We start from the raw sequence: 21,729 nt of genomic DNA, 5'->3' as shown, positions 1-21,729 counted from the left end.
AGTTAGCACTCAAGCATGCTATTGATAGACATTGGTCCTCCCTAGATGGGGGAACATGTCGTGCCGACTTCTACAATAGAGATTAAAAAACCAAAACAAAAACGAGTATTTGCCAACTTGGCCAAATTCTTGTGAATATATCACCCCCAAATGATCCATTTGATGGCACGTTGTGTAGAAGATTACAAGCCAGGAGACCATCATTCAAGTTCTGTCTCAACTTTTTGGAGCCTTGAGTTGATCATCTGAAATACAGGAATAATTGTTTCTATTTTTTTCTATTTCAGTGAGTTTTGTAAAGACCCAATATGATAATATATGTGGAGATTTTTGAAAATTATAAAGGATGGAGTGAAGTGGGTAATTATTGTGAACATCTTTTCCATTCTTTCTTTTATTCAAACAGTGGAGCTCACTCATTGTCTTGAGTGGTATTTGTGGAATTATAGGTGAGGGAAAAACATTCAAATGAGTTAGGGAGTGTATAAATGCCTGTTGAATCTGAATTTGATGCTGTTTCAACATTGAATTTAATAAAGTATTCCGTTATTTATGGTAAAATATTCTGTGAACTGTGAAGCACTCTTCAAATTTAAAACATTAGTAGGATAATAATAGTAGCATCATTTATTGTATTGAAAGGAAGTCTAGTCTGGTGGTAAAAGCAGAAACCTTGGATCCAGACTTGCTTGGTTCTGTTCCTCCTTGATATGTCCTGGCTCTATGATTTGGGATGTATAACCCCCCATGTCATTCTTTCCTCATTTCTGAAATAGAGTTAACAATACTTCTGCCAACCTGATAGGGTTGTTGTGAGAATTTAGTGTGTTTTTAAGCATGGGAGATTTAAAAAGCAGCCCCAGGATCACAGTCTGTACTCAATGCATAGTAATGATTGTTACAAGAAGTACTACAAAGAAATGATAATAAACTCTTTTGGTTTCTTGCCTCAGAACACTGAGTGACCATATTATGAACTGCTAGGTTAACAGCTATCCTTTTCGTTGATGGAGATAGTATAAAATCATGTTATGAATGATGGAAATTGGCTCAGTGTGTTAATCCAAAGATATGTTATACATATTGTTTATTTCTTAAAGATTTTTAAGTTGAAATAGAATTCACATACCATAAGATTCATCATCAAAAGTACAATTTACATTTGCATGCCTGTATCTTTGTGATAGACAATTTCTATTCCTTCGGGTAGATACCCAGTAATAGGATTGCTGGGTCAAATGATAGTTCTATTTTAATTCTTTGAGAAATTGCCACACTGCTTTCCACAGTGGATGAACTAATTTACATTCCCTCCAGCAGTGTATAAGCATTCCCTTTACTCTGCAACCTCACTAGTATCTGTTATTTTTTGACTTTTTAATAATAACCATTCTGAGTGGTGTGAGATGGTATTTCACTGTGGTTTTGACATGTCATTTCCTAATGATTAGTGATATTGAGCATTTTGTCATATGCTTGTTGGCTGTGTGTATATCTTCTTTTGAGAAGTGCCTGTTCATGTCCTTTGCACATTTTTTAATGTGGTTGTTTGTTTTTTGCTTGTTGATTTGTCTAAATTTCTTATAGATTCTGGATATTAGACCTTTGTTGGATGCAGAGTTTGCAAATATTTTCTCCCATTCTGTACACATGTACACAAAGCAGGGAACAATAGACACCAGGGCCTATTTGAGGGTGGATGGTGGTAGGAGGATGAAGATTGAAAAATTACCTATCAGGTAATATGTTGATTACCTGGTGATATGGTTTGACTCTGTGTCCCCACCCAAATCTCATCTTGAATTATACTCCCATAATTCCCATGTGTTGTGGCAGGGACCCAGTGGGAGATAATTTGAATCATGGTGGTGGTTTCCCCCATACTGTATATTCTTCTCATGATAGCGAATAATTTTCATGAGATTTAATGTTTTTATCAGGGGTTTCTGCTTTTGCATCTTCCTCATTTTCTCTTGCCACTGCCATGTAAGAAGTACCTTCCACCTCCTGCCATGATTCTGAGGCCTCCCCAGCCATGTGGAACTGTAAGTCCAATTAAATCTCTTTCTTTTGTAAATTGCCCAGTCTTGGGTATATCTTTATCAGCAGCATGAAAATGGACTAATACACCTGGGTGACAAAATTATGTGTACACCAAACCTCCTTGACATTCAATTTACCTATGGAACAAACTTGCACAAGTTCTCCTAATAAAAACAAAGAACAAAAAACCAGCTCATATTGTACCCCATAAATATATTTCAAATATTACTTGTCAATTAAAAGTAAAACTAAGAGAAAAAATTAAAAATGAAGTGTACAGTTTCTCAGGTTTTAAAAAACATAGTTGCAAAGTTGTGCAACTATCACCACTATCTAATTCCAGAACATATTCACCATCTCCAAAAGAAACCCTCTACTCATTAGCAGTCACTCCCTGTTGCACCCTCTCCGAGCCCCTGGCAACCATTAATCTTCTTTCTGTTGTCTCTCTGGATTTGCCTATTCTGCAAATTTCATAGAAATGGAATTATATAATATGTAACATGTTGTGGCTGGCTTCTTTCACTTAGTATAAGGTTTTCAGGGTTCATCTATGTTGTAGAACCTGTCGATACTTCACTCCTTTTTATGGCTAACTAATATTCCATTGCATGGGTATACCACATTTTGTTTATCCATTCATTGTTTGATGGACATTTGTGTCCATTTCTACTTTTTGGCTATCATGAACATTTGTGTACAAATATCTATGTGGACATAACATTTTTTTTTTTTGAGATGGAGTCTCACTCTATCGCCCAGGCTAGAGGGCAGTGGCGCGATTTCGGCTCACTGCAAGCTCCGCCTCCTGGGTTCACGCCATTCTCCTGCCTCAGCCTCCCGAGTAGCTGGGACTACGGGCGCCCGCCACCAAGCCCGGCTAATTTTTTGTATTTTTAGTAGAGACGGGGTTTCACCATGTTAGCCAGGATGGTCTCCATCTCCTGACCTCGTGATCCACCCACTTCGGCCTCCCAAAGTGCTGGGATTACAGGCATGAGCTACTGTGCCTGGCCTGTGGACATAACATTTTTAGTTCTCTTGGGCATATACCTAGGAGTGGAATTGCTGGGATATAGTATAACTCTATGTTAAACTCTATGAGGGACACATTTTGCTTATTTATCTGGAGTTATCCTTTGATTATTGTTTTCAGGTCATGCAAAAATGCTTGAAATAGTAATAAAAAAGTGAGCTCTTACTCATCCAAGCTGTTCAGTCGTAATCAGGACATACTGCCAAGAATAACCTTGATCTTGGGACATGGAGTACTTACTGGTGATACCTCCCTAATGTGGCACCTAACCTTCATGTGCTAGAACCAGCCGGAAGATGAATGTTCAAATACCAGAGGACAAATGGCTATAACTGGGGTACACATCTTTTTCTTTAAAGTATGATTTTGTGTTAATTTTTAATATTTCAGTTTTATGAGTACACAGTAGGTGTATATATATATATTTATAGGGTACATGAGATATTTTGATACAGGCATACAGAGTCTGATAATAATCACATCACGGTAGATGGGGTATCCATCTTCTCAAGCATTTATCATTTCTTTGTATTACAAACATTCCAATGATGCTCCTCTGATTATTTAAAAATGCGCAATAGATTATTGTTGACTGTAGTCACTTATTATGCTATCAAATAGTAGACCTTATTCATTCTATCTGTAGTTTTATGCCCGTTAACCATCCCCACTTCCCCCCGTCCTCCCCACTATCCTTCCCAGACTCCGGGAATCATCCTTCTACTCTCTATTTCCATGAGTTTAATTCATGCTTTTTAGAAAACCTATATTGGCAGTGGAGGTGGAGGCAAATAACGACTCTCTCATCTGTTCTTTTGTGTGTGGAAACATGGACTTTTAGGTATTCAGATTGTGCACTACCTTCCTTAGAATAAACCAAGAATAAATCAGAATTTGGCTGCAGCTTTAGATTAGATAGTTCCAAAATCTTCCTCACTGGGCTTGGGATGGGAAAAAACAAAAATGCTAGTTCCTGTCTTTCATTTTCTGTGGCATCATGCTTTGATGATTTTTTTATACTTTGAGCATAAAGTTTTCTATTGAATTTTTTTGTCCTCAGATGCATTTTTTATATGTTCCTTTTTTCTCTTCCTTTTACTTACAATAAATACTTATTGAGTATGTATTCTACAATAAAGAAGTGTGTCAACCAGGGAGACATAGGGAAAAATTAAACAGGCAACAGTAAATGTATTTATCACTGTTAAACACTATGCAGGAAAATAACAAGGAGGTGGTGTGATAGAGGACTGGGATGACTTCTCTAGAGTTTCAGGGGAAGGCCTCCCTGTGGAGGCGGCAAGTACACTGGAGACTGAAGGATAAGCTAGAGTGGGCAATGTGAAGATCATTTGCCTATTTGCTTTCAAGTTTACTTCCCACCCTTCCCCAGCTCTGGTCTGGGTAACAAGGCACTGGACCTTGAAAACTACATTTCCCAGGCTCCCTTGCAAGCTAGCTTTCTGCTAGATTTGGCAAATGGAAGGCAGTGAGCAGTGCACTACTGGAGGCTTGTTCCTATCAGTGAGCTTGCCTGGTTCCTTTGTCTCTGTTTTCTGCTTGGGTTTGGCCAATGGGAAGACCAGGAGGGAGTTGGGAGGGCAGGAGGAGAGGTTGAGCGATTTCTTCCCTGTTCCTTTTCCCCAGTGCCCTGTGTGGGTTCTTACCAGGCCACCTCTCTTCCATAGCCCTCTGCTCACACATTTTCCTTCTCTTGCCCCTTCAGCCTTAGGGGTAGTAACAGCTCCCTCCTGTAGTGAGTCTCTGGGTGCTACACCATCTTGCTTGGTTTTCTTGTCCCTGCCCACAACTCCCTAAATATTGCCTTCATTGAAGTCTCTTCATTTGAATCATTACCAGTGGGGAGGGGGAGAGTGAATTCTTTTTCCTGCCAGGACCCTGGCAGGAGTGATAGCTAATGGCCAATCTTCATGTATCCCTTTCACAATTTTTGTCATATCTGCATGACACCTGGGCTGTTGCTTACTTACTTACTTTTTCTGAAATCACCTCACTTTTGTTTTTTACAAATGACTATAGCATTACCCTAAGCAGTCATATACAAGAAATCCTGGGTTTGGTATGAAAGTAATACTTTATCCTAATACATATTAAAACACATACAGGCCAGGCGTGGTGGCTCATGCCTGTAACCCCAGCACTTTGGGAGGCTGAGGAGGGCAAATCACTTGAGGTCAGGAGTTCGAGACTAGTCTGGCCAACATGGTGAGGCCCTGCCTCTACTAAAAATACAAAAATTAGCTTGGCATGGTGGCACACACCTGTAATCCCAGCTATTTGGGAGGCTGAGGCAGGAGAATTGCTTGAACCTGGGAGGTGGAGGTTGCAGTGAGCTGAAATGGTGCCACTGCACTCCAGCCTGGGCAACAGAGTGAGACTCTGTCCCAAAACAAACAAACAATCAAACAAACAAACAAACAAACAAACAGGCCTGGCACAGTGACTCATGCCTGTAATCCCAGCACTTTAGGAGCCGAGGCAGGCAGATTACCTGAGGTCAGGAGTTTGAGACCAGTCTGGCTAACATGGTGTAACCCGGTCTCCACTAAAAATACAAAAATTAGCTTGGCATGGTGGTGCACACCTGTAATTCCAGCAGCTCGGGAGGCTAAGGCAGGAGAATGGCTCGAACCTGGGAGGCAGAGGTTGCAGTAAGCCATGACTGCACCACTACACTGCAGCATGGGTGACAGAATGAGACTCTTTCTCAAAAACAAAACAAAACAAACAAACACACAAAAAACCCATGTACATAACTCTTTAAGAGAAACAATACCTGGTATCCTTGCAAATCATGTCACACTGACTTGATGATCTCTTAGGCTCCTTTCATCTCAGGGAGGCTGTGATTCTGGATAAACGACTGAGACTTTGGTGCTTGTTTCAAGTCAAAAACATCTCAGTGCTTTATAGAGTCAAATTGTTTTCTTTCAGCTGTATCACTGCAGTAAACAGAAATGAGGAAAATAGTTCTCCTTTTTATTCTTGCACTGATGAAAAGCTTCTAAGTGCTACCAAATGTGGAAAAATCACTTGGGCTTTCATTGTATTGTTGGGCAAAGAATGAAGATAAATCTGGTTTTATGCAAGATGAAATTTTCTTTCCTCAGGTGGCCCTTGCTTTGATGGGTTTTGGAGGAAGGAAGCAAAATAGAAACGCAACTAATTATATTCATTGGAGGAGAGGGACCCAGATTCCATACACACTGCTGGCAGAGAGGCATGGTGGGACACTCAGAGGTGTACAGATCCTGGCATACGGTGGCTTGAGGACAAAGAGCTCCTTTAAGAACTGAGCCATGAGGAAACTCCATTAAAGGTCAGTCCATAGCTGGGATGTTACTTTCCTAGATCTTCCTTTTGACTTTGGCTTCTGGGCTCCAAGAATCCTGAATCTACCTCTTCCTACTTTCATGATCTCCACTCAACATTCATTTAACACATGGGTTACTGCATACTTTAGTGTACACCATTAAATCTAGCATGCATTACTAAAACTAAATGTTGGATGCATCAGTCTCCTGGAGGGCTTGTTAAAACATACCTTGCTGGCTAGGTGAGATGATTCACACCTGCAATCCCAGAGCTTTGAGAGGCTGAGATGGGAGGATCATTTGGGGCCAGGAGTTAGAGACCAGCCTGGGCAACAGAGTGAGACTCCTGTCTTTACAAAAAGCTAAAAAGAATAAAAAATTAGTCAGTTATGAGAGCATGCATTTGTAATATTGGCTACTTGGGAGGCTGAGATGGGAGGATTGTTTGAGGCCAGGAGTTTGAAATCAGCCTGGGCGATCTAGTGAGACCCCAGCTCTACAAAAAATAAAATAAAATAAATTAGCTAGGTGTGGTGGTGCACACTTGTAGTCCCAGCTACTCAGGGAGGCCGAGGAGAAATAACTTGAGCCTGGGAGTTTGAGGTTGTAGTGAGGTACGATTGTGCCATGGCACATGGCACTTCAGCCTGTGCAACAGAGTGAGACTCTGTTTCTAAAAAAAAAAAAAAAAAAAAAAAACAGGGCTGGATACAGTGGCTCACACGGGTAATCCCAGCACTTTGGGAGGCAGAGGCGGGTGGATCATCTGAGGTCAGGAGTTTGAGCCCAGCCCGGTCAACATGGTGAAACCATGTCTCTATTGAAAACATAAAAATTAGCCGGGTGCGGTGGCAGGCGCCTGTAGTCCCGGCTACTCGGGAGGCTGAGGCAGGAGAATCGTTTGAACCTGGGAGGCGGAGGTTGCAGTGAGCAGAGATCGTGCCACTACACTCCAGCCTGGGTGACAGAGTGAGACTCTGTCTCAAAACAAAACAAAACAAACAAACAAGCAAAAACAAATACGTCTTCTTGTACCCAGAATGTCTGAGTCAGGAGGTCTGGAGTGAGCCCAAGAATTTGCATTTCTAATAAGTTCCCAGGTGATGGTTATGTGGCTGGTCGGGGGACAACAATTTAAAAAAAATTTTTTTTGTAGAGATAACATCTGGCTACATTGCCCAGGCTGGTCTCAAACTCCTGGGCTCAAGCAATCCTCCTGCCTCAGCCTCCCAAAGACCTGAAATTGTAGGCATGAACCACAATGCCCAGCCAGAGAGCAGACTTTGAGAACCCCTGGAGTAACATCTGGAATATCTGTCCTCTGCCAGATCCTGGGAATGGAAAGGTGAAGAACGCAGGATCTTTCCTTCAAATTGCTTACTTGGCAAATAATTCAAACTCTTTGAGGGTCAGCTGTCTCATCTGTAATATGAGAATAATTATACTTCCTTCATGGGGCTATTGTGAAAATTAAGTGATATTGAGTCACAGACCTTTGCTATTTTGGAAGGACAAATCTTGAGACCTTTACAAGTCCACAATTCTGTGAATACTATTAAAACATGTAATTTTCTCCATAAAATTTAGTTAAGCATAAGTGAAAATTTTAAGTGACCCTTTCAGGCCCCTAATGATTCCCTAAATATAGGATTAAAGCAATTTATGAAGCAATTAAAATAAATTCTTGTTGAAACACTCATTGAACAGTTTCAGAAATTACTTTCCCTTATGGAGTATTTGGTGGCTTCAAGCAATTACCAAATTTGATATTTTACCCTTGGATTTATCTAACACTTCACTTTCTTTTTATTCCTATTATTCATATTGGCAATTGTAAATGGGGTCTTTTTTTCCCTGAAAAGACATGAGGGCCCAGCATGGTGGCTCCTGCCTGTAATCTCAGCACTTTTGGAGGCTGAAGTGGGAGAATTGCTTGAGTTCAGTAGTTTGAGACCAGCCTGGGCAACACAGGGAAACCTCATCTCTACAAAAAATTTTAAAAACTAACTGGGCATGGTGGTGTGTGCCTGTAGTCCCAGATACTCTCTGGGAGGCTGAGGTGGGAGGATCGCTTGAGCCCAGGAGGTCAAGGGCACAGTGAGCCATGGTCGCAGCACTGCACTCTTGCCTGGGCAATGGAGCAAGATCCAAACTCAAAAGCAAAAAAGATATGAGATACCTTACACATTGCAAGCGCCATGGCATATTTGGATTAAATAGAGAAAGCAACAAGTCCACATCAAGATACAGATGCTAGGAAGTGAGCTAGGCTGTTCACTAGCTATAGCATCTGTTAATATGACAACGACTCCTACAGGTCTGCCGCACCATATGACTCTGGAAGGTACCACCCATACTGCTGTCTACGTCGATCATGTTCCTTGGAGTTGTGCAAACTGGTGGGGCTGTGTGGGGGTCTAATTGGTGACCTTGCTGTGGACCTTCCAGGTCATGCATGAGATTGGGAAACCAAGGTTAACTTTGCAAATGCCAAGGTTAATGTTCTGATTAGTACCTGGAGCATCACCGATTTTCCAAACACCCTTTATCACAGTTTATACCTTAATTTTGGTATTTTCAGTACTGGCACTATTCCATCTAATCTTGGCTCTTTTTTTCTTTTCTATGGAGACAACCTCTCACTCTGTTGCCCAGGCTGAAGTGCAGTGGCACGATCATAGCTCACTGCAGCCTCCAACTCCTGGCCTCCAGGGATCTTCCCACCCCAGTTTCCCAAGTAGCTGGGATTACAGGTGAGTGACACTACGCCTGGCTGATCATTTTATTTTTGTAGAGATTGGGTCTCATTATGTTGCCTAGGCTGGTCTCAAACTCCTGGCCTCAAGGGAACCTCCAGCCTCAGCCTCCCAAAGCATCGATATTACAGGTGTGAGCTACCATGTCCAGCCTGCTTCTTAACATGCTACCCTCCTCGAGTTTATTCTGTTGCCTTAGGTTAGCCCAGGCTTGATTGGCATTTTGGCCACCACTGCCTAATAGCACTCCATTAGACATTTGGCTGCCTCAGGAGGAGGAAAAGCAGGTTGGAGTTTCAGTGTCACCTCTGCCACTTTTATTGCATGATTCAGGCAAGAAGTGTAACCCCTCTGCATCCCACTATTTTCCTCCAAAAAATGGCACTCCCGCAAACGGTTTGCGATTAGAAAATAAATGAAATGAGGCCGGGTACAGTGGCTCATGCCTGTAATCTCAGCACTTTAGGAGGCCGAGATGGGCAGAATCATTTGAGGTCAGGAGTTCCCGACCACCTTGGACAACATGGCAAAACCCCATCTCTCCTAAAAACACAAAAATTAGTCAGATGTGGTGGCGTGCACCTGTAATCCCAGCTACTTGGGAGATTGCGGCAGAATTGCTTGAACCCAGGAGGCATTGGTTGCAGTGAGCTGAGATCGCGCCACTGCACTCGGGTGACAGAGTCAGTGAGATTCCGTCTCAAAACAAAACAAAACAAAACAAAAAAAAGGCAGTCACAGAGTCATAAGTTTATTTGTAAATTCGTTTACTTTCCTTGTAAATAGATGAGCCCACTCATTTATTTTTGAAGTATGGGATAAAAAAAAGTATTTTGTTAGACTTTGCTTTTCTCAGAAAAGCTGTTTTAATTCAGTGGCATTAGTACCAAGCAAAACACAAGTTGTTTTATGTCTATGGAATAAGCTTAGATATTTGAGGGTTCCCTATCTACTGCATCATGCATCATGAAAATCAAGTTTAATAAAAAGTTGATTTGCTGTTTGTTAAACAATTGTCTGCTTTTTGTATTTTTTTTTTTTTTTGTAGAGATGGTGTCTCACTATGTTGCCCAGGCTGGTCTGGGTAAAAGTGCTAGAGGTGACACTGAAACTCCAACCTGCTTCTCCTCCTCCTGAGGCAGCCAAATGTCTAAATGAGTGCTATTAGGCAGTGGTGGCCAAAATGCCAATCAAACCTGGGCTTCCAGCCCGGTCTCGAACTCCCGGCCTCCAGGGATCCTCCTGCCTCAGCCTCCCATCTTGCTGGGATTACAGCATGAGCCACTGCACACGGCTTGTCTGCTTTTTGGATTAAGGAAAATCCCTGCTTTGCTCTGGACTGGATTTCGGTTTGTGGACGAGGGTTTTGTTGAGCAGCCAGGGCCGTTTGTTGGTGGACCTCCCCTGCATCTTACTGATAATCATGATATTCAGGGTGAAAGCTCTCAACAGACTGTGCAGAGCCTGATGCCTGAAAATCATGCTTTTTAGACCCCTTTAAATAATTTACTGAGGCATCCTGCTTGCCACTGCTCATATGTCATTGTCTTTGGGGTTGTTTTCCTCATGTGAATTACAGTGGTTCATCTCTAATTTGCAGGCTACCCGTTTCCAGCAAGAGTCTCAGCCACATTTGAATATTCAGAAAGAACAGCGCTGTACTATGACTGTTTAAAAATTAACACACATTTCTTTTCAGTCTGGGTAGAGGCAGAGAGCTCAGTGAAGGAAACTCCTGGACTCCAGTCACCTTAGACTGCGCTGGGAGGCCGTACAGATCATCTCGAGTGCCCGCGTTCTAATTGCATTACTTGAGGTCATCTCAGTAAATCATATTCTACATCTATGAAACAGCCATTCAGATATTTGAAGACCACTGTCTTACCTTCCCCTATGGCTTTTCTTTTCCTAGCTGAGAACGCCAGTTTCTTTCTTTTCTTTTTTACTTTCTTTGTAGAAACAGTCCAGGCTAGTCTCCAGCTCCTGACTTCAAATGATCCTTCTGCCTCAGTCTCCCAAAGTTCTGGTATTATACATGTGAGCCACCCCACTCGGCCATGAGAACCATGAGAACACCAGTTTCCAAAGCAATTTCTCATATGATAATGACTGGATTTCCAGAATTTCCCTTCTCACTTTTCCCCAAGGTTCCCTGCATTCTTCTTCAAGTAGGGTGTTGGCCAGGCATGGTGGCTCACGCCTGTAATCTCAACACTTTGGGAGGCCGAGGCAGGTGGGTCACTTGAGCCTAGGAGTTCTAGACCAGCCTGGGCAACATGGAGAAAAGCCCATTGCTACCAAAAAAATACAAAAATTAGCCAGGCATGGTGCCGTATCCCTGCAGTCCCAGCTACTTGGGGGCTGAAGCAGGAGAGTCCCTTCAGCCTGGGAGGTCAAGGCTGCAGTGAGCCTTGATTGTGCCACTGCACTCCAGTCTGGGCCACAGAGTGAGACCCTGTCTCAAAAATAAATAAACACATACATACATATATAAAGTGGGGTGTCTAGAAATAATCTCAATATTCCAGCTGTTGCTTTACTAGAGAAAAGGATTTTGGGAGTATGACCTCCCCAATTTTTTTTTTTTTTTTAAGACAGAGTCTCGATCTGTCACCAGGCTGGAGTCCAGTGGCACAATCTCGGCTCACTGCAACCTCCACCTCCCAAGTTCAAGTGATTCTCCTGCCTCAGCCTCCCAGTTAGCTGGGATTACAGGCACCCGCCACCACACCTGGCTAATTTTTTGTATTTTTAGTAGAGACGGAGTTTCACCACGTTGGCCAGGATGGTCTTGATCTCCTGACCTTGTGATTCGACTGCCTTGGCCTCCAAAAGTGCTGGGATTACACATGTGAGCCACCATGCCCGGCCAACCTCCCCTATCTTAAACAAAAATAAAATAAATAAAAACAAAAATAAAATAAATTTTAAAAACCCCAAGTAATATGTTTATTTAGCTCTTCTCTGGCCAAATCATATCTGAAGGTATAGCCGCACTTGCTGTAAGAAAATGGTAGGTCAGACCACATGAAATATAAAAGCTTTAGAGTTTTCAGAGTCCCAGAAAACATCACTTAGTAATACTGATGATCCTAATAGCTATTGTTTATCTAGTGCATATATTTTATGTGGATTATCTTATTTAATTTTCATCACGGGCCCAAAATCTACCAGCTAGTAAGTGCAGGATTAAAAGCCTGTGTACTTTCTTTTTTTTAAAAAAAAATTATTTCCATAGATTATTGGGAAACAGGTGGTAGTTACATGAGTTAAGTTCTTCAGCGGTGATTTGTGAGATTTTGTTGCACCCATCACCCCAACAGTATACACTGCACCCAATTTGTAGTCTTTTATCCCTCACCCCCTTCCTACACTTTCCTCCAGAGTCCCCCAAGTCCATTGTGTCATTCTTATGCCTTTGCATCCTCATAGCTTAGCTCCCACTTATGAGTGAGAACATACGATGTTTGGTTTTCCATTCCTGAGTTACTTCCCTTAGAATAAGTCTCCAATTCCATCCAAGTTGCTACAAATGCCATTAATTCATTCCTTTTTATGACTGAGTAGTATTCCATCATTTATACATATATATCATACATACATATATTATATTATACATACATATATTATAATACATTTATAATACATTATGATATGTATTATAATACATATAATATGTATTATTTATACATATATATCATACATACATATATAATATGATACATACATATACTATAGTACATTTATAATATATTATAACATATATTATAATACATATAATATGTATTATATATACGCATATACAGATATATGTGTATATGTATATGTATATACATATGTATTATATATACACATATACACATATATGTGTATATGTATATGTATATACATATAATATGTATTATATATACATATGCACATATGTATATATGTATAATATACATATACACATATGTATATTATACTATATATGTGTATATATGCATACATGTATATGTGTATATATGCATACATGTATATGTGTATATATGCACAATATACACACGTGTGCGTGTATGTACAATATACACCCACGTGTGCGTGTATGTACAATATACACCCACGTGTGCGTGTATGTACAATATACACACACGTGTGTGTGTATGTATAATATATACACGTGTGTGTGTATGTATAATATATACATATGTGTATATATTATATACTGAATATATTATACATATATACATATATACATATGTGTATATGTATACATACGCATGTGTATATATGTGTATGTATGTATACATATATGTGTATATATGTATTATATATACATATGTATATGTATATTATATATATATGTGTGTGTATATATATATTTATCAGATTCTTTATCCACTTGTTGATTGATGGGCATTTGGGCTGGTTCCACATTTTTGCAACTGCGAATTGTGAGGCTATAAACATGCGTGTGCAAGTATCTTTTTTGTATAATGACTTCTTTTCCTCTGGGTATCTATATCCAGTAGTGGGTTTGCCAGATCAAATGGTAGTTCTATTTTTAGTTAAAAGCCTGTATGCTTTCCATTGCCCTCCATTAGTGTTTTTTTTTTTTTTTGTCTGGATGGTCAGGTGAAAAGAGGTGTTTAGAGTCTCACTGAGAGATTTACTGTCTTCATAAAATTGAAGGGTTATTATTTATAACAGAGAGACGACTTTGAACCTCAGTGGGGAAGAACCACTACAGGGAATGCAGATGGGCGGCCTGAAACAGACACACTCTAAGACTCTGTGATAAATACAATTCTCTCAAATCCTAAGCATGGTTGTTTTTTCCAGATTGAAGCAAAGCCTCTGAGCCTGTCGCTCTGTGACATTATAGCAGCCAGGGGGTCCAACGGGTCTTGTAAAAAATCAACAAAATATAAAATGAAAGCAGTTATATGGAGCATCATGCAGACAAAACAAAGGAATGAATTATCTTGGTCCCTACTGGATTCTGTGCTGTTATGAACATAGAAGTGTTTTCTTCACCTGGCTGTGCAGGAGAGGCACCTGAAGGGCTCATTTAAATAGAGATGCCCTGGGTTCCGATGCTTATCCTACAGATCTGGGGTGGACCCCTGGGGTTTCCATTTTATGAAGAGGCACTTTTGTCCTGCCAGTGGGATTGGGAGCAGACTGTATTGTGACCCCCAGCCTCGGACTATAGGATGACTTAAATGTGTTAAACAACCAGCCCCGTAGGCTAAACTGTCTGGGCTGACTTTATTTGCTGAATTGAATAATTAGCTCAGAGTTTCAAACACACTTAGAACATGCGTCAGATCACAGGTCTTGAGAACGGCAGCGATACACTCACACACGGGCCACCATGCCAATAGATCGGAAGAGTTTCATGAAATTATCTTCAAGCTAAGCAGCAAATTCCATAATTATCAGTATTCTTTTCATGTACTCTAAGAGTCTGCATAATTTCCCTGTGGTAGAATGTAGAGAAATCAATACAATAAACTAAGAGATCTACCAATTCATTGGAGCACAAAATTTAAATCTGTGTTTGCTAACAATATTTCAATTTCTGGGCAAATCTAACATGAAGAGACTGAATAATTATATTTCCATCTTTACTTTGGGAGGAGTCTGTTTATTTATTGCTTTGGGTAAGGATGCTAAAAACCTGGAACTCTGTACTGTGATATTTACCTTTGTCAGATAAACTTATGGCTTAACATTGCATTGATTTTGTCTTAGAGACGTACTCATCAAGTGATCGCTCTAGGTCTTAGAGTAAAAGAAATTTAGCATTCAATGCAGGCTTTTTGTATGGTAAGTCTTTGAATGAAGATAATAAATCTAAAAGCATACTAATCATCAGTTGTGTATTGCCTTATATTTTTCAAGACATTTTCAAGTCCTTGACCTGGTTTGATTCCTTCTCAAGCCCTTTGAAGTCAGGAGACCTGATTTGCCATGGGACTTTTTCAGATGGATAGCTATTATTCTATCTCTGTGTTTTTTTTTTTTTTCAGAAATTTGTATTCAATCATGTTGATGACATGCACCCCTGAGAACCATGTCCTTTAATAGAAACACCTGTATTAAGTGAAACTTAACCTAAAGAGGCTGCAATTTTGCACTCTATTTATGGAGAGGGGTCAATGCAAATGAAATGAAGGTGCATCAAAATGCCTAACACTTCACCTTTCAATTAATTAATAGACTTATTCATTCACTCACTCATTCATTCCTCAGATACCTATTGAGCATCTATTACATAGCAGGTATTCTCTTCTATAATAGCTAATTTTTTTTTTCTTTTTTTTTTTGAGACAGTGTCTCTCTCTGTCGCCCAGGCTGGAGTGCAGTGGCGTGATCTCGGCTCACTGCAGGTTCCGCCTCCCGGGTTCACGCCATTCTCCTGCCTTAACCTCCCAAGTAGCTGGGACTACAGGCGCCCGCCACCACGCCGGGCTAATTTTTTTATAGTTTTAGTAGAGACGGCGTTTCACTGTGTTAGCTAGGATGGTCTCGATCTCCTGACCTTGTGATCCGCCTGCCTCGGCCTCCAAAGTACTGGCATTACAGGCGTAAGCCACTGCGCCTGGCCTTTTTTTTTTCTTTTGAGATGGAGTCTCACTTAGTCTCCCAGGCTGGAGTGCAGTGGTGTGATCTCAGCTCACTGCAGCCTCTGCCTCCTGGGTTCAAGTGATTCTCCTGCCTCAGCCTCCCAAGTAACTGAGATTATAGGTGCATGCCTCCATGCCCAGCTAATGTTTGTATTTTTAGTAGAGACAGGGTTTCACCATGTTGGCGAGGCTGGTCTTGAACTTCTGACCTCAAGTGATCTGCCCACCTCAGCCTTTCAAAGTGCTGGGATTACAGGTGTGAGCCACTGCACCTGGCCTGTAGCTAAAATCTTGAGACCAGATTGCGTGAGACATTAAGAAACACAGGCTTTGGTTCAGACAATTTTGGCTGTGAATTCCTGCTCTGCAACTGCTCAAGTGACCTTGTACATGTTGCTCTTTTCCTTATTCATTCATTTCCCTTCCTCTAAAATGTGGGTAATAATAGTACCAGCTGACATCTTTTTCTCTCTTTCTTGATACAGGGTGTAACTCCAGTCCCCAGGCTGAAGTGCAGTAGTGTGACTGTGGCTCACTGCAGCCTCAACCTCCTGGGTTCAGGTGATTCTCCCACCTCAGCCTCCCAAGTAGCTGGGACCACAGGTGTGCACCACCACACCTGGTTAATTTTTTTGTTTTTTGTTTTTTGGTTTGTAGAGACAGGGTTTCCCCATGGTGTCCAGGCTGGTCTCTAACTCCTGAGCTCAAGCCATGAGCCCACCTCCGCCTCCCAAAGTGTTAGAATTACAGGCATGAGCCACTGTGCTTGACCCAGTTGATATATATATTTTTTGATGGGAGCTCAATATTTCATAAAATATATATGGAGTGTTTATCACAGTGCCTGGTGCATAAAAGGGCCCGCATAAGTGATAGAATAAAATTTTACTCTACAATGAAAACTGCTGAAAGTTGACCATAGCCATCAAGGGTATGTTGGCTCTGTTTAATTGACCACACATTGAAAGCAACAAGACATTCAGGGGCTAACCCCGTGTAACTGGTCATTGCATCAGTTTGCATTATTTCAGTTACAGTTCAAATAAAACAATTCAAGTTGGCTTATAGAGTAAAGAGAATTCGCCAATTCTTGTGAATTGTCAAGTGGTATGGTGGCTTCAGGCAAGGCTTGATCTAGCAGCTCAAATAACTAGGACCTGGTTTCTCTTGGTCTTATGTAATGATGACTTCCTCTGAAAGCTCTATGTGGTGGTTCCATATCAAGTCCAAAGTGTCTCCTCAAAGTGGGGAAAAAAAAAGTTGTGGCAACCATGGGCTCCATATCCCGACAGGGCAGGGACTAAGCCTAGGGGATTGAGGCACTTGTCTGAGATGCCAAATTTAAGAGGAGAGCTGCCAAAAACAACTCAAGATAAACAATATTTTGGCCAGATGGGGTGGCTCAGGGCTGTAATCCCAGCACTTTGGGAAGCTGAGGTGGGGAGATGGGTGGATTGCTTGAGGGCAGGAGTTTGACATCAGCCTAAAGACATAGCAAGACCCCCATCTCTACAAAAAATTAAATTTAAAGAATTAGCTGGGCATCGTGGCTCATGTCTGTAGTCCCAGCTGGGGAGGCTGAGGCACGGGGATTGCTTGAGCCCAGGAGCTGGAGGCTGCAGTGAGCTAAGATCATTCCACTTACTGTACTCCAGCCTGGGTGACACAGTGAGTTCTTGTCCCTACCCCCACCCCACCCCCCAAAAATGAATAAACAGAAATTTGAAAAAATAAAAAATTAAATAAAAAGCATAAATAATATTTTGATGTTATATGTAAAAAACAAAACTGATGCAAAAAATCTATGATCAACCAATTAGAAAAGATTTTGTGGGGAGGGTTAAGGGGAAGATTTAAAGGAAAGATCAGAGTCAGCTGAAGAGAGATGGCTTTTCCCAGTAGTTTCAGAAAACATCTGTTTGCTTTCCTAGCCTCAAATGAGTGAGGTCCCCATCACAGAACCAATTGCTGTTGTCAGGGGTAGGAGATACAGTCTATTGGCATCAGCTAATAAGGGTCCACCCTGGAGCTAGAGGGTAGAGCCTTGGTGTTCTTATCTACATCATGAGAGTAAATTTTGAATTTTGTTTTTAGGGGAAGAATGCCTTTTTCAAATGAAATCGTTTTTTCTTTTTTCATTTGAGACAAAGTCTCACTCTGTTGCCCAGGCTGGAGTGCAGTGGCACAATTTCGGCTCACTGCAACCTCTGCCTCCCTGGCTCAAGCAATTCTTCTGCCTCCGCCTCCCGAGTAGCTAGGATTACAGGTGTGAGCCACTGCACCAGGCCCAAATGAAATCTTAAAAAGGTTCAAAGTAGGCTCTGGTGATGGAGACTTGGGGATAGGCATTGAGATGGAGCTGGGGACCCCAGGCCTGCCAACTCATCAGTTCATGCTCCTACTTCTGCATGCCTGGGGACACAGTTTGAAAACCACTAAACTAGACAGAAGTCCTTTTAGGTTCTACCATTTCACAGCTACAATTCTGAGTATTCTTTGAAGGAACCAAAGAAGTAGATAAAGTGGCTGTGCATGGTGGCTCACGCCTATAATGCCAGTGCTTTGGGAGGCCAGGGCAGGTGGATCCCTTGAAGTCAGGAGTTCGAGACCAGCCTGGCCAACATGGTGAAACCCAGTCTCTACTAAAAATACAAAAATTAGCGGGGTGTGGTGGCGCACGCCTGTAGTCCCAGCTACTTGGGAGGCTGAGGCAGAAGAATTGCTTAAACCCAGGAGGCAGAGGTTGCAGTGAGCTGAGATCAGGCCACTGCACTTCAGCCTGAATGACAGAGTGAGACTCTGTCTCAAAAAAAAAAAAAAAAAGTAGAGAAACTAAGAATGCGACATGAGTTTTACATTAGCCCAGCATGTTGGTGCATACTTGTAGTCCCAGCAATTTGGAAGGCCAAGGCAGCAGAATTGCTTGAGCCCATGAGTTGAAGACAAAGCCTGGACAACACAGCAAGACCCCCACTCTACAAAAATTTAAAAATTTGCCAGGCATGGTGGTGCCCCACTATAGTCCCAACTATTTGGGAGGCTGAGGTAGGAGGACCACTTGGGCCCAGGAGTTCCAGGCTGCACTGAGGTATGATTGCACTTCTGTACTCCAGCTTGGGCAACAGAGCAAGTCCCCATTTCTAAAAATAAACAAACAAAAAAATAAAATAAAATCACATGGGCTTTGGTTCCAATAAATTTGGCTGTGAACCCTTCTGTCCCATCTCATGTGAACTTGTCCATGTGTCTTTTATATTATTTATTTATTTTTTCAGTTTTAGTTTCTGGTGGCATGAAGTAAATGAAGACAGCAGTGAGAGAATTCAGAAGTCTTGACTAATTTTAGCAAAACTCATGAGGAAATCCCAGGTTACTCAGTTGGAGATGCAGGAATAAGCATGAACTTAATCTCAGGAAATTCTTACATCTTGGTAGTGGTTTCTTGCTTTGTTCTCTGAATGTCTTATTTTTTTTTTTCTTTTTGAACATACCTTTCATATTCTTTTCTTTTGATATAGGGTCTTGTTCTGTTGTCCAGGTTGGAGTGCAGTGGCACGACTGCAGCTCACTGCAGCCTCGACCTCCCAGGCTCAGGTGATCCTCCCTTCTCAACCTCCTGAGTAGCTGGTTATGTCCTTTTTGGACAATACCTTTGTCCTCTGAATGTCTTATTTTTTTTTTTCTTTTTGAACATACCTTTCATATTCTTTTCTTTTGATATAGGGTCTTGTTCTGTTGTCCAGGTTGGAGTGCAGTGGCACGACTGCAGCTCACTGCAGCCTCGACCTCCCAGGCTCAGGTGATCCTCCCTTCTCAACCTCCTGAGTAGCTGGTTATGTCCTTTTTGGACAATACCTTTGTCCTCTCTGTGAGTTCAGAATCCATTACAGGGAATCTCGTGAAATGTTGATATGATAAATGTTAAAGATGATTTGATTGGGGCAGCAGGATAATGAGCATATTAAGCTGGTCTAAAAATGGGTCTGGTTTCAAGAGCCGTAAGCAGTTGGTAAATAATAAAAATGGAAACCTTTTCTTTTCAGTTCTTAAAAGAAATTCATAATGGGTTTTCCTCATAAACTGCAATTATTTTTAAATAGCACTAATGAATAATTTAAAGACCCACTGGGTTAGGCAATTAGTTTTAAGTGTGGATTAATTGCTTTCTTTATAATATTCCACATTCATTTTTTTGCATAATATGGACAGATATTTCATGTTCTTTAAAAATATTTTATGTTTTCTGAAATGTTCTGATAGGTGAGAAGGGAAGCTGCTGTAGTCATTACAAAGTGGGAAACACGTGACACCGAGCCTGTGTCTGCCCATTTTTAGGGAACAAACAAAATCATGGAGTTTTCTCTCATTTCCCCTCCCTCACAATTCAGTTTGGTGCAGTGGCTATTAAACTTTCCTTTTTTTTTTTTTTTTCTTGAGATGGAGTCTTCTCTGTCGACCAGGCTAGAATGCAGTGGCACGATCTCAGCTCACTGCAACATGTGCCTCCCAGGTTCAAGCAATTCTCCTGTCTCAACCCCCAAGTAGCTTGGACTGCAGGCGCACGCCCCCACACCTGGCTAATTTTTGTATTTTTAGTTAGAGACAGGGTTTCGCCATGTTGGCCAGGCTGGTCTTGAACTCCTTACCTCATGATCCACCTGCCTCGGCCTCCCAAAGTGTTGGTATTACAGGCATGAGCCACCGCACCCGGCCTGTTAAACTTTTTGGATTGTGACCAACAGTGATACATTGTGACTCAGTAACATACACACAAATACACACACAGACACACATTAACATAAAAGTTAATATGGAAGAAAAACGCCAGATTACAACCATCGTTGGCTCCATTTGATGCCTGCTAATATTTTCGACTCTGCTCCACTTAAACTGTGATTTAGCTGGTAACTTTTGGAGAAAGGAAGTGGATTTCTGGGCTAGCTAGGCCAAGTTCTAGTTCTTGGCCTGGGTGGTGGTTATAAGGATGTTCACCTTGTAAGATATCACCAAGTGGTACAATCATTCCATGTACCTATGCTTCATTTTTCTGTATAAAGGTTAAACAATATATATTCCAGCAGTTTGGAAAATATTGTCATAAGGAGGTGGGAACCTGAATGAGTTTTATCATAGCTTCTTGATCACTTTTATTATTATTTTTTTTGTTATTTTATTTACTTATATAATATTTTTTATTTTTAGTATAGACAAGGTCTTGCTATGTTGCCCAGGCTGGTTTTGAACTCCTGAGCTCAAGTGATCCTCCTGCCTTGGCTTCCCAAACTGCTGGAATTAAGGCATGAGTCATTGCATCTGGCTTTTTATTTATTATTATTATTTTTTGAGGTGGAGTCTCTGTCGCCCAGGCTGGAGTGCAGTTGCGTGATTTCGGCTCACTGCAGCCTCCACCTCCTGGCTTCAAGCGACTCTCCTGCCTCAGCCTCCTGAGCAGCTGGGATTACAGGTGCCCACCACCATGCCCAACTAATTTTTGTATTTTTACTAGAGACGGGGTTTCACCATGTTGTCTGGATAGGCTTGAACTCCTGACCTCAAGCAATGCACCCGCCTCTGCCTCCCAAAATGCTGAGATTACAGGCATGAGCCACCACATCCGGCCTTCTTTATTTTGTTTTTAAGCACAGAGCAGGTTAAAATAAAAATCCCAAAGTCATTGGAGGGGACCATAAGAAGCAGAAGTAGCAAAGCTAACCCTCTGGCCACGCTGCAGAGTGGGCATGGGGAGAATTGAAGAGCCAATCACTCCGAGTGTCTCATTTTTAGAGCTAAGTCTGTCCCTCACTGGTGGCCTCTTTGAGTCACCAGACAGGATGGGAACTGGCCAGATAAGAACTCCTTCAGGAAGGGGTCCACAATGTCTGTGGAAGGAGCCATTTCAGAAAGAGATATTGGAGGGGGTGATCAGGGAGAGAGAGCTGCATAGGGCA

General features: G+C 41.5%; 1 long non-coding RNA gene across 1 annotated transcript; it reads right to left on the bottom strand.

The window, feature by feature from the left end:
* Positions 1–108: 108 nt before the first annotated feature.
* LOC105375342 (uncharacterized) lies at positions 109–20,502 on the bottom strand. Its single transcript, NR_187909.1, has 4 exons — positions 20,428–20,502; positions 6,645–6,776; positions 5,877–6,042; positions 109–245 (listed from the first exon to the last, which is right to left on the bottom strand). It is a non-coding gene; the product is annotated as an uncharacterized LOC105375342 (long non-coding RNA).
* Between the last annotated feature and the right edge of the window lie 1,227 nt (positions 20,503–21,729).

Source organism: Homo sapiens, chromosome 7, assembly GCF_000001405.40.
Source record: "Homo sapiens chromosome 7, GRCh38.p14 Primary Assembly".
Taxonomy (NCBI): Eukaryota; Metazoa; Chordata; class Mammalia; order Primates; family Hominidae; genus Homo; species Homo sapiens.
Note: the sequence above shows the minus strand (reverse complement) of the source record. Positions and strands in the feature narration are given on the sequence as shown.